This window comes from Homo sapiens, chromosome X, assembly GCF_000001405.40.
Source record: "Homo sapiens chromosome X, GRCh38.p14 Primary Assembly".
NCBI lineage: Eukaryota > Metazoa > Chordata > Mammalia > Primates > Hominidae > Homo > Homo sapiens.
The window spans coordinates 19,386,027-19,400,013 of record NC_000023.11 but is presented as its reverse complement, the minus strand read 5'-3'; the positions used below and the strand labels follow the sequence as shown (position 1 = coordinate 19,400,013).

At 45.1% G+C, this 13,987-nt stretch overlaps 1 protein-coding gene across 7 annotated transcripts in view; it reads left to right on the top strand.

The window, feature by feature from the left end:
- MAP3K15 (mitogen-activated protein kinase kinase kinase 15) overlaps positions 1-13,987 on the top strand; it is a 155,450-nt gene that overhangs the window by 115,495 nt on the left and 25,968 nt on the right. For 6 of the 7 annotated variants that reach the window (NM_001001671.4, XM_011545508.4, XM_011545507.4 and 3 more), the window contains 4 exons: positions 1,655-1,788; positions 4,806-4,933; positions 7,541-7,671; positions 7,907-8,012. In NM_001001671.4, the coding sequence (NP_001001671.3) occupies positions 1,655-1,788; positions 4,806-4,933; positions 7,541-7,671; positions 7,907-8,012 (499 nt within the window). Of the gene's footprint in view, positions 1-1,654; positions 1,789-3,387; positions 3,586-4,805; positions 4,934-7,540; positions 7,672-7,906; positions 8,013-13,987 lie in introns of those variants that run through there. The other variant, XR_007068188.1, reaches the window with a different exon arrangement.

Below are 13,987 nucleotides of genomic sequence, written 5' to 3'. Positions count from 1 at the left end.
AGGTTAGACTGAAAGGAATTCCTTAATGTTTCTTTCAGAAAATATCAAAGGGATTCATTTTAATAATTGAGTTAACTACTAGAATTCTTAGGTCAGGACCAGAGTTTGTTGTAGAAATGAACTGAGCAATGGTGCTTTGAGGGCAGCAGGTGTGGGAATCGGAGGGAGGTGTGAGGTAAAAGTCTTCTATGGAGCAGGCTGATTGCCAGTTACATCAGACACTGATGGAGATCCTTTACTAACCATGTTTTTTTTTTTTTTTTTTTTTTTTTTTGGAAACAGAGTCTCACGCTGTTGCTGAGGCTGGAGTGGAGTGCAGTGGCGCAATCTCGCCTTACTGCAACCTCTGCCTCCTGGGTTCAAGCGATTCTCCTGCCTCAGCCTCCCATGTAGCTGGGACTACAGGCACCCGCCACCACGCCTGGCTAATTTTTGTATTTTATTTATTTAGAGATGGAGTCTTCCTCTGTTACCCAGGCTGGAGTGCAGTGGCGTGATCTTGGCTCACTGCAACCTCCACCTACCAGGTTTAAGCGATTCTCCTGCCTCAGCATCCTGAGTAGCTGGGACCACAGGCACGTGCCACCACGCCTGGCTAATTTTTTGTATTTTTAGTAGAAACGGGATTTCACCATGTTGGCCAGGCTGGTCTCGAATTCCTGACCTCAGGTGGTCTACTCGCCTCGGCCTCCCAAAGTGCTGGGATTACAGGCATGAGCCACCACGCCTGGCCTAATTTTTGTATTTTTAGTAGAGATGGGGTTTCGCTATGTTGGCCATGCTGGTCTCAGGTGGTCCTCCTGCCTGGGCCTCCCAAAGTGCTAGGATTACAAGCATGAGCCACAGTGTCCAGCCAACCCTTTAGTAATCTTAATTGTCATGAACATCCCTAGAAGTAGATGGGAAAGGACACCCACATACCCGCCGACTATTCCGTGTATAAGCTGCACTTCTGTAAGTAGAAGCAGTGGAGCATGCAAAATAACAGAAAAAATTGATTGCTGCCTCTCTGCTTTAAATAAGTGTTGCTCAGCGTACAGTCACATTTGTTTTAATCATCGAGAAGAATCAAATGCATCTGTATGTGACAGCTTTTGATGGGAAGATGGGGGAACAAAATAGTAATGCTAATTGTAAATCAAGTTTTTGTACTAGGTGTTTACTACTAGATCCGTATGCCTGAAAGAGTGGGGAAGCCCCAGCATATTTACTTTTTGTATTAAGATAATGTTAATTATATTGACCTTCAATTCCTTTCTGGGTTATTGAAAGATATTTGTTTCCTGACAACTTGATAAGGGATTATGCAGGAAGACACCTAGTTGGGTTATTCAACATGCTTAGAAGCAGTTTTAAATTGCAGCGTTAAAATGGGGAAGAATTTCCAAAAGGTGAGCCAATTATATGCAAACCATATTTTTAATTTTCTTGGATTCCATTTCATAAAGTCATACTATGAACAGGTGAACAATGGAGAATTCTGCCCCTTTAAAGTCATTTAATGAAAAGGGCCTAAGCTAAGCACTGTGACTTGCCTGACAGTCAAATAATGTTATTTATATTTTTTTTAGTTGCTAGACAACTCTGGGGGCCTTAGAGGGCTTCTCCGCTACAAGTTGTATGCTTTTTTGTCCTTTTGTTTTTCCTTCTTCAGTATGAGTATGACCATGATGCAAATGGTGAGAGAGTTGTCTTGGGGAAAGGCACGTATGGGATTGTGTATGCTGGCCGAGATCTGAGCAATCAAGTGCGAATAGCCATCAAAGAAATCCCGGAGAGAGATAGCAGGCAAGTCCAGGCGGGCCTTCCGCATTTCGGGTGCCGTCTCCACACCCCAGATCCCATACCCACCGCTCATGGTGTGGAGGAGTTAAGGGCAAAAGCATTGTGTTACCACAAAACCTGTCATTCTCTTGTAATAGGGGTGATCTTTTTTTTTTTTTTTTTTTTGAAACGGAGTCTCGCTCTATTGCCCAGGCTGGAGTGCAGTGGCATGATCTTGGCTCACTGCAACCTCTGCCTCCCAGGTTCAAGCAATTCTCATGGCTCAACCTGTAGCTGGGATTACACCATGCCCAGCTGATTTTTTTGTATTTTTAGTAGAGACGGGGTTTCACCATGTTGGTCAGGTTGGTCTCGAACTCCTGACCTCAAGTGATCTGCCCGCCTTGGCCTCCCAAAGTGCTGGGATTACAGGCATGAGCCACCGCGCCCGGCCAGGGTGATGTGCTTTTGTTTTGTGTATTATAGATTGAGAAAATGGAAGAACTACACTTCAGAGGCACGTGGATTGCAGAGGATCATATTTTAAAAGAAAACTTTTGTTGTGTTTCCACCCATTGGCTAGGTCTAAAGTTTTACATTTTTTGCGTAGTTGTTTGCAAATATATATACATTTTTGAGATGAAGTCTCACTCTGTCACTCAGGCAGGAGTGCAGTGGCAGATCTCGGCTCACTGCAGTCTCCACCTCCTGGGCTCAAGTGATCTTCCCACTTCAGCCGCCTGAGGAGCTGGGACTACAGACACACGTCACCATGCCTGTCTAATTTTTGAGTGCAAATATAATTTTTAAATATTACTGGGTTATTTTAAATTTACATTGTAGCAGTTGAAAATGGCTATGATTTGTTCAGATGCATCATTGTGGAAAATTACATGCAGATAAAAAAAATCAGATTTTTGCAGTACAGAATTTTTTTTAACATCCTACCCTTCACCCTCACACATGGATTTTGGACTGTTTTTCTACCATGAGTACTGCTTATTCATTTCTTTGACTTTTTTTAATTTTAAGAAATGTTTGTTTCTAGCCGGGCATTGTAGCTCAAGCCTGTAATCCCAGCACTTTGGGAGGCTGAGGCGGGCAGCTCACTTGAGGTCAAGAGTTCAAGACCAGCCTGGGGAACATGGTGAAACCTCGTCTCTGTTAAAAATACAAAACTTAGGTGGGTGGGCATGGTGGCGCACACCTGTAGTCCCAGCTACTCTGGAGGCTGAGGCACGAGAATCGCTTGAACCCCGGAGGCAGAGGCTACAGTGAGCCGAGACTGTGCCACTGCACTCCAGCCTGGGTGACAGAGTGAGACCCTGTCTCAAAAAAAAAAAAAAAAGTTTAAATTTATACCCCAACAAAATGAGCATTGCAATGTTGACTGCAAAGTGTTTCTGTAGAGAAGCTACATACACAGTTGGAATTAATCATTCCGGGATCCACAGGTGTGTCAGACCACAGCTGTAGGATTGCCTTCAGTGTCGAGTGCTGAAGAATAATGTGTAAACACCCATGTATCTGGGTGATTGCTGATATATTGGGGATGAGTTTTAAGGGATTTCTGCCAGCTGTAAGACCCTTCATTCATCCATTCATGTATTTGTTGATTTTCAGTGGGATAGCATGTTATGATACGTGAATTATGAGACAGGACCTGAAATGAACTATTTCCATTTCTTCATTTCACCAATAAGAAAATCAAGACTGAGGAAGATTAAATGACTTTCCCAAGGATGCTTAGAAACAAGACTAGGATCCGAGTCTCTTGAGTTCCTCATCCAGCATCCAGTCTCTTTTCTCATGATGGATAAGGTGTTGCAGTTGTATCTATTTGGGGAAATTTCTGGCATGTCCCATCTCCTTCATTTGGTAGCAATAGCTGTTCTAGCTTTTTGTTGCTGATCAGTAGTTCCTGGGATTTTAAGAGCTAGAAGGGACCTTTAGAGACTGTTTTGTTCAACTCCCTAAATTTATAGGCTGAACTTATGATGATAGGTACTTTCTCTGTGTCAGACTCTGGGCTGGCACTGGGGACCGAAAGGTGATTAGGATAGTGTCCTTTTCCCAGGGTTCTGCTGGTTCGGTGGCAAATGCAGATGCTTTGCCTCTGAGTGAAAGTGCCAAGTGCCATGATAGAGGAGTACACAGAGTGTTTTTAGAACGCAGAAGAGGAATGAATTACTCTCCTTAGTGAGTTGTGGCAAGTTTGAAAAAATAGATCAACTTTGAGCTGCACTTTGAGGGATGAGTAAGAATTTGTTTAGCGGAAAAGGAGGCCTATGCTGATGGAAAAACAGAGCTGTTAAAACACAAAGTATATTCAGAGAACAACAGATTGTCTGATATGACTTGAATGTAGGATGCAGGGCAGTGAGATGCTCTTGAAATGAGGCCAAAAAAAAATTTTTTAAGGCTTAGCCTGAACTGATCTTTGAAAGTCCTTGTATGTGACATTAAATAGCATGGTCTCTATGTGGAATTTATGTGGGGAAGGGATGTGGTGAAGTGTGTGTTTTAAGAAGAGGTAGTATAATGGCCAAGGTTGGGGAATGGATTAAAAAGGCCAGAGGCTGGGGCTGGGTGGCCCATTAGGTGGCTGCTGTTGTGGTCTGGGGCGACTCTGTAGAATAAGACGAGAGGGCAGCTGAGGGCAGAACCTTCCAGAACACCACTCTTCATGGGAGGCAGAGGAAGAGGGGCTGTTGAGAGAGGTAAAGAATGGTTGGTGGGTTCAGGCCCGAAAAATAACAGTAGTAACAATAGCAGTCATTCATTGAATACTCACCACACACCAGCTACTCCACTAAGTGCTTAATGAAATGGACATGCCTTGGCCCCTGGCAGCCCTGCATGGCTGTAGGCTTATCCTCTATTGTACAGATGGGAAGTTGAATAGTTTCATGGAAGCCAGAGAAAAGAAAGTTTCCAGAAAGAAGGGATGGGCAGCAGTGGGGCAGGTCCTGGTGAGGTGAGATGTGGTTCTAGAGTCCCTGGGATTTGGCAGGTGACCCTGGCTCTGTTTTTCCCAATAGGTATTCTCAGCCTCTGCACGAGGAGATAGCCCTGCACAAGTACCTTAAGCACCGCAATATCGTTCAGTACCTGGGCTCTGTTTCAGAGAACGGCTACATTAAGATATTTATGGAGCAGGTGCCTGGAGGTGAGTAGTCGCTGTCTTCTGGTCTCACATTCTGAAAATCACTACGACGTGGATGTCATTTGTTGTCCTGCCATTTACAAAATGACAGACCCCTAAGCCAGGCCTGTAGGGCGCCTGTAGTCCCAGTTACTTGGGAGGCCGAGATGGGAAGATCACTTGAGCCCATGAGGTCAAGGCTGCAGTGAGCCATGATCACAGCACTGCACTCCAGCCTGGGCGACAGAGCAAAACCCATCACTCTTTTTAAAAAAAAAAAAAAAAAAAAAAAAAAAAAAAAAAAAAAAAAAAAAAGCAACAGACCCTTTAGATGTTGGAAAGTTGGATACTTTCCAAATGTCATATAAGCAGTCTATTTCTGGTTTGTTGATGCAGTTTGTTCAACCCACAAATATTCATTGACTGTCTATGGAGAAAACATAGTCTTTGGCCTTGAGGCCTTCACAGTCTAGGAGTTTAAAGGTGGGTTTGGACAAGGGTGCAGAAGAGGGAACATAGATGTTAAAAGTGACAGTGCAAAATAGCATTTTGATAATGAAATCAAGCATCAGTGTTTTATCCACAAAAATCCCTGAATGCAAGAGATAGGGCACAGGAGGGGAGTTCCTGGGATCTGGACCCAGACCATCTAGTCTGAGTCCGTTCCTCCATCCACAAGCTGTGTGACTTCAGGCAAATTGTTATACCTCTCTGTGCCCTCAGTTTTCTGATTGAATAAATGAACTGTAAAATTGGAGTAATAATGACTCTGATAATTGGAGTAATAATTATTGGAGTAACAATTAACGCTGTCTCAGTGGGCTGTTGGGTGGATTCTGTCTGGCAGAGAACAAGAGCTCAGTAAGTGCTCATTGAAATAATGAATCAAACTCTTTAATTAAATAATAGTTATCTGAATACAGATGTTAAAACTTCAGTTAGAAATCTTCATTCATTCATTCAACTGACAGTTATTAAGAGTCTGCTATTACAGGAAGAGTCTTAAGTATATTTATTAAGAGCCAGGCAGTCAGCCAGGCACAGTGGTCACGCCTGTAATCCCAGCACTTTGGGAGGCCAAGGCAGGTGGATCACTTGAGGCCAGGAATTCGAGACCAGCCTGGCCAACATGGAGAAACCCCCTCTCTACTAAAAATACAAAAAATTAGCCAGGTGTGGTGGCGTGCGCCTGTAGTCCCAGCTACTCCGGAGGCTGAGGCACAAGAATCGCTTAAAACCAGGAGGAGGAGGTTGCAGTGAGCCAAGATCATACCACTCCACTCCATTCTAGGTTACACAGTGAGACTCCGTCTTCAAAAAAAAAAAAAAAAAAAAAAAAAAAAAGAGCCAGGCAGTGGGCTAGATTTTCAGGGTTATGTTAGAATAAATAAAGTAGTTTGTCTTTCCCTTAAGTTGGTCATAGTCTATCAGAAAACTCGTCCATTGCTGCTTTTTCTTTTTTTTTTTGAGATGGAGTCTCTCTGTCTGTTGCCCAGGCTGGAGTGCAGTGGTACGATATTGGCTCACTGATGGCAACCTCTGCCTCCTGGGTTCAAGCAATTCTCTCTGCCTCAGCCTCTCAAGTAGCTAGGATTACAAGTGCGTGCCACCACGCCTGGCTAATTTTTGTATTTTTAGTAGAGATGGGGTTTTGCCACGTTGACCAGGCTGGTCTTGAACTCCTGACCTCAGGTGATCTGCCCGCCTCGGCCTCCCAAAGTGCTGGGATTACAGGCGTGAGCCACCGTGCCCGGCCCCTTACTCTTCACGTTAGTTGATAACCCCATCCCCGGCGTTAGGTTTAAGGGTATCAACAGAAATAGAGACAGATGTGTTCATCCCCTTTTATAGATGGGGAAACCAAGGTAGATCAAGGTCCCATAACACTGTGTAAGTGGGAATCTGAGACCAGCCGATGTCTGAGGGCCCGTTCCTGCCAATGGACAGGACATCCCGCAGTTCACATGATGTCCTTCGAGACGTGGTCACAGTGTCCTTAAGGGAGCTTTTCTTTTGGCCCAAATGTTCAGTGTTTAATAGCGTAATTGGGGGAAGTGGTTGTTGATCAAGACAGTCCTGCCCTGAGACTTGCCACTGTGGCTTTCTCACATTGAGGACAGAGAGACCCAACTTCCTCCAGTCCTAGTCCTTGTCACCCTAAAGGGCCCCTCACTGTGGACCTGTCCACCTCTGATTACAGACAAGGTATAAAACGTGGCTTTAACCCAAGCAGAATGACTGAGACAGACCTGCTGTAAACAAGTGTCATGGGACCTGAGTTATCTACGCCAGCAGGCCATGCCCCTCAAGTTGAGAGAGCATTATTTCGCTCTCCTCCTAACTTCATGTAGCTGAACAGAGCTAAACCCACAATTGGCCCCACTGAATTTCAGGGGGCACAAGGGGTTCATGTTCACCCTGTGCCTCTGGTTAGGTTCATGTGCTCAATTGCTTCCAGTCCATTCCCTGGCTGTAGCTACAGAGGGGAGGAAACATGTTGCATTTAGCCCAGATCCGATGGTGTTGGTGTAAGCACTTAGGTTAGGTTAGAAACCTCACCTCACTTTATTTCCCTGAACTTTTATTGAAACTTTCTCTTCCTGATAAGTTTTTTGCTGTGACTGTCTCTAGGAAGCCTTTCTGCTCTTCTGCGATCCAAATGGGGGCCGATGAAGGAACCGACAATCAAGTTTTACACCAAACAGATCCTGGAGGGCCTTAAGTATCTTCATGAAAACCAGATCGTGCACAGAGACATAAAGGTACTTGCTTTTTTAAGCTGACGAGGTTGCCTTTGCTCGTATCAGATCATGAGAGCTGTCGATGGTGTCTGCTGAGTGACTGGCTGACAGAGGGGTATGATTTAGCACAACCGTCCCCAAAATGCAAAGTCTAGTTTTCCTAGAGACTTGTGACGGTTTCCCAAGGTCCAGATCTGTTTCATATGAGTTCGTTTCAGCCTGTCTTTTAAGCACTTGATGATGTTATTTTCCGAAGGGCGATAATGTTCTGGTGAACACCTACAGCGGAGTGGTGAAAATCTCCGATTTTGGAACCTCGAAACGTCTTGCGGGTGTGAACCCCTGCACAGAGACTTTTACTGGTAAGTGGACCAAAGCTTGGCACAGGGTGCCCATCCCAGAGTTACGCTTTCTGCACAAGCTGCGGTTGTTCAGCCGTTACTTAGTGAGCACCTTTTCTGAGCAGAGTGAGCAATTGATACTTGAAGTAGACAGTGGATTGTCCCCAACTTCAAATTGTTTTAACTTTGTCATAGTGATGCACCTAGCCAGCTACTTGTGGCAACAAGATTGCCCTACTTTCTTCTTTGTCATCCAAAAGTTGGGTAGATGGAGTGCTCTGCTGAGGTTCTGAGGTTTTCTTTTCTTTTTTTTCTTTTTTTCTTTCTTTTTTTTTTTTTTTTTTTTTTGAGACGGGGTCTCACTCTGTCGCCTAGGCTGGAGTGCAGTGGCACGATCTCGGCTCACTGCTACCTCCACCTCCTGGGTTCAAATGATTCTCGTCTCTCAGCCTCCCAAGTAGCTTGGATTATAGGCGCGCCCCCTACCACACCTAATTTTCTATTTTCAGTAGAGACGAGGTTTCACCATGTTGACCAGGCTGGTCTCGAACTCCTGACCTCAAGTGATTCGCCCACCTCAGCCTCCCAAAGTGCTGGGATAGATTACAGATGTGAGCCACCGCGCCTGGCCTCTGCTGAGGCTTTCTGAAGGTCACTCAACCAATCAGCAAGATGGCAGCACATCTCTTTAAAGTTAATAGCACATTATCTGAAATCGTGGGTAATGCTGAATAACAGTATTCCTCAGACAACTGATTAAGACATTTTATTGGTCTGTCATAAAAATAGCCTGTTACTGTAGTGAATTCTGGTACCTTGTGTTTTGATATGATTGTGTTTCCAAGAGAGGCTAATTCTTCCTGGGGAATATGGTATTCTAAGTGATTTTGAGGAATTGGATTTTCTTGTCCATGTGTCAGTAATGGAATAACTTGAGCATTGAGAGGGACTGGGTTCAAAGGGTGGTATACAATTACCAGCTAGTTTCACAGTTGTAAGATCAATAAGTAGAATGATGGTCAAAAGCTACTTGTGGCTATTGGAAATTCCTGCTTAAACCTGACTAATAACAAGAACTTTGATCCTTGGAAAGAAGTACTGATTTTTGAATAAGTAAAGGTTTATAGTCCCCCAAGGAGTAACGTAAAGATCACAAAGATCTTGCTTGATGGAATTATGAAACAGCTGGGGCCTGGTATAGTGGCTGACACCTGTAATCCCAGCACTTTAAAAGGCCAAGATGGGAGGATCACTTGAGGCCAGCAGTGCAAGACCAGCGTGGTCAACATAGTGAGACCCCATTTCTTAAAAGAAAAAAAAAAAAACAGCTTTCATAGGCTGGGCACTTTGGGAGATTGAGGCAGGAGGATCTCACTTGAGCTCAGGAGTTCAAGACCAGCCTGCGCAACATAGGGAGAACCCCATCTCTACAAAAAATAAATAATTATTATTATTACATATTATATTTATATATTATATGTTATATATAATATAATACATAATGATTATATATAATATATGTATATAACATATATTATATAGTAATTATTAGCTGGGTGTGGTGGTGTGCGCCTATGGTCCCAGCTACTAGTGAGGCTGAGGTGGGAGGATCGCTTGAGCCCAGGAGGTTGAGGCTGCAGTGAGCTGTGATTGTGCCACTGCACTCCAGCCTGGGTGGCAGAGTGAGACTCTGTCTCAAAAAAAAAAAAAAAAAAAAAAGAAAAAATTAGCTCTTAAAATAATATAGCTCTGAAATAAGCTATAAAAGACAGGTGACTGTTCTCTATCTCTGCAGTCACCAAAGCTGTAGGGTGGACAGCTTGGGTCTTATTTTTGGTAAATAATGTGTCAGCTTTGAAAGACTTTTTGTCAATGAGAGAGTTGTCGCGTGTCAGCCACTGGACACCCACAGTGGAGACACATTCACCATCTAAAGAGAATTTTAATACATCACAAAATGACTTCTCACTTGTAACACAAGGGGAGGTACATGTGCCTGAAAATGGGAAAATACTATACCAGGGACACTATCAGAATCTCCCAAAGAAAGAGTGCATTGAATTTTCATTCATTGTTTCTGGTATAAATATACGTATACATCTGTCAATGTGTGTATATGAATATGTGTGTATGACTAGCACTTCATTTTCTTTTAGCATTTTACTACCCTAATTGAAAATGACTTGTATCCTCCTCTTTGGAAGCCACCAATTAGCTTGGCAATACATAGCAAGAGGGGCTCTGATATGACAAGGAGTTATTTGAAGACATAAAACCCCCAACAATTTATCTCATAATTAGCTTCCCTGAGGAGGAAACAAACTCACAAAGAAACACATGTATAATTCATCCTTGCATATCACACTTCCCAAGTAATTGGCTTGGGGAGGCACGGATTTTGCATTGCAAAAGAATGCAGGGGTGTTTGGGGGATAATAAGGAAGGGGTCTCATTTTGGTTAGGAAATTCCCCCGCATATAATTGCTCTTTGCAAAACAGAGCAGTTCTGTAAGGAAATCTCAGCTGGTTGGTGCAGAACTCTGGGTCTGTGGTTGCTCAGCCTGGCAGGAGAGCCAGAGGGTTTCAGTCAACTTCCTGGCCTGGAGCCCTCCCTCCCTGTGTTCCTCTGAAGGGTTTGCCCCACACATAGGAACCTGCGAGAACAGGAGGAAGGGCTGTTATAGCCAGGGTCAGCCCTGCCTTTTTTTTTTTTTTTTTTTTAGCAGCCTTATCGAGGTATAGCTGACATATCATCAAAGCACCCATTAGAAGTACTCAATTCTTTGGTTTTCAGTAAATTTACTGAGTTGCTCAGCCATCACCACGATCCAGTGTCTGGACCTAGCAGACCCCGTGCCCCTTGGTACTCATCCCCATTCCCACTCCAGCCCCAGCTCATCACTCATCTGCTTTGTTGTGTTTGTGTGGCTTTGCCCGTTGTGGATATTCATATGCTTGGAATGAATACAATATGTGGGGTTTTGCATGTAGCTTCTTGCACGTTGAGTCCTGTTTTTGCAGTTCCTCCATGCAGTGGTGTGTATGGGTACTTCGTTGTTGTTCATGGCTGAATGGCATTCCATTGTGTGGAGAACCACATTTTGTTCATCCGTTTACCAGTTAACAGTCATTTGGGATTGTTTCTACTTTTTGGCCACTGCGAATAATGATGCTGTGAACATTCACATACAAAGCGTGTGTGAACATGTGTTTTCAGCCTTCTTGGGTAGATACCTAGAGGGAGAACTCGGGACAGGAAGTCTGTTCTCGTCTGGCTGCAAACATCGTTGGTTCAAATCCTGGCCCAACCACTTGCTAGCTGTGTGACCTTGGGCATATTACTTAACCTCCATGTGCCTCAGTTTCTTCGTAAGTAAAATAGAAATGCTCGTTGTACCTACTCATAGGGTTTTTATGAGGGTAAAGTGAGTTACTGATGAAGTGCTTTGACTGGTCCCTGGCACATAGCAAGTGCAATTGAAGTGTTTGCTAATTAAATACTCGCTTGTACTTAGAAGTCATGGGTTATTAGAGCTGGAAGGAGCCTTTGAGAGAACTGAGTTTGTGTGTGTAACTAACGTGTTGAACCCATTGGACTCAAAGGGTGTAATCACAAAAGCCACTGGATTTTTCTCTCCCACTTTTCATCCTGCCTGGGGCGGGAGTTCTTTCCTTTGACTTTTCCAGCCACCCTTACATAACAGAGAAAGTCATAATGACACTTGAAGGAGCGCACACAGTCTGAATTCAGGAATTAAAAAGGACTCATCGCTTGAAGCCGGGAGGCGGAGGTTGCATGAGCCGATTGTGCCACTGCACTCCAGCCTGGGTGACAGAGCAAGACCCTGTCTCAAAAAAAAAGATTCAGGCTGATACTGATCAACGCTCTGGTCCTCATTCAAAAGTCAGACCCCTCTCCCGTCTCCCTGCAGGCAGCGACCTGTGGTCAGGAGCTGGGTGTTGTCTTTTTCTCCCTAATCACCAGCTGCAGGAAGGAGAGGACAGGGGCAGGGAAAGTTGTTACTTGACTAGCACTGTTGGAAGCTGGCTTTGCGTGCTGTGGGCCTGGCTGATGTTTAGTTATCTTCCCTCGCTGGCTCCCTCTGGATGTAACTCCTGTGTCGTGGGCAGGGGCCTGTCCTTTGGCTGACAGCCCCCTCCTCCCAGTTATTTACCCCTTACATCACCTCCTCCTTCCATCTCTTTCTGTTGAGGGATTCAGATCGTGGAGGACTGCGTTTGAGCAGGAATTCCTTTTCTTTTTTCTTTATTTTTTTATTGGGCAGCCCCTGGAACCAGAATAGGTTCTGAGAGAGACTCCCAGGATTCCTTTTAAGAAGACCATATGCTGGGCACGCCTGTAATCCCAGCTCTCTGGGAGGCTGAGGTGGGAGGATCGCTTGAGCCCAGGAGTTTGAGACCAGCCTGGCCAACATAGTGAGGCCCCGTCTTTACCAAAAATATAAAAATCAGCTGGGTGTGGTGGTGCGCACTTGTAGTCTCAGCTACTCGGGAGGCTGAGGTGAGAGAATCACTTGAGCCCAGGAGAATGAGGCTGCAGTGAGTCATAATTGTGCCACTGCACTCCAGCCTGGGCGACAGAATGAGACCCTGTCAATCAGTCAATCAATCAAATAAATAATACAAATAAAAGATAAACCCTAAGGCAGTATTTCTGTAATAGGGTCCCCCATCTGGTGTCCAGAGTTCAAGCAGCTTCAGCCCACTGTTGAGAGGGTGTGGCAGTATCCCCACACCTTACAGCCCCCTGTCTGCTGCTGGAAGTTAACCTTTGCTCACTTGGGTGCCAGTCCACTGTGTAATTTACCTACAGGAACACATACACATGGAGCTGAGTCGCTCAGTGAAGCCCCCTTCAAAGGCTTTGGGTTAGGAACAAGTGGCGCCACCTTTCCACCAGGCTTATCCCTTGGTCAGGTCAACTAGGGTAGTCCCCTGGACTATGGGAAAATCGTACCTTACTTTTCTTTTCTGTACTTGATTAATATGAAATCTTGAAATTTAGGCTCTAACGGTATCTCCAAGGGCCTGTGGAAGATGTGATGATCATAAGTTGGTATTGAGTGGCTTGAGTTGCCCTGGGCCCACGCCCTTTTGGGGACAGTCCTGCCCCAAATCCTGTAACTTGGGAGAGGGTAGGCAGCCCAGCATAGCTCTCTCTAAAGAAGCTGTCTCAGCACCACCCCCCTAAACTACTCTGTCAACTCTCTCAGCCCCTTGATCAGATTAGAAGGTCCCTGGGCCTCGGTTATAAACTTGTGTCTTCTGCTGTGTGTCTTCTTTGCTGGTAATCTGAAAATCCTATTGGACAATTCTCCAGGAGTCCCCAGTGGATTTTGTGCCCTAGGGGGGCTGAGTCAGTGCCTGTGGGTCTCTTGGTCACCTTGTTCTGAACTCTGCACCACTGCACTGGTGTAGGTACCTAAGAGCCGTAGTGGGCTGTGACCAGTGACCAGTGTGGTAGGGCATACCTTGGAGGAAATATAGGTTAGGGAGCATATGGGGCCCCAAGAGAGCCAGATTTTTGTTTGTTTGTTTGTTTTGTTGAAATGGAGTCTTACTCTGTCGCCCAGGCTGGAGTGCAGTGGCGCGTTCATGGCTCAGTACAACCTCCACCACCCGGGTTCAAACGATTCTCCTGCCTCAGCCTCCCAAGTAGCTGGGACCACAGGCACACGCCACCATGCCCGGCTAATTTTTGTATTTTTAGTAGAGACGGGGTTTCACCATGTTGGCCAGGCTGGTCTTGAACTCCTGACCTCAAGCCATCCACCTGCTTCGGCCTCCCAAAGTGCTGAGATTCAGGTGTGAGCCACCGTGCCTGGCCTATGAGAGCCAGATTGAAGGAAACCCAATTTTCCAGGATTTGTGCGTGATTCAGATGCCCCACAATGCCATCTTCACTTGGTTTTCTTGACAGAATCCAGCCTTTGGGTTAGCTGATGTACACACCCAACATGCATCCTGCCAGGGAG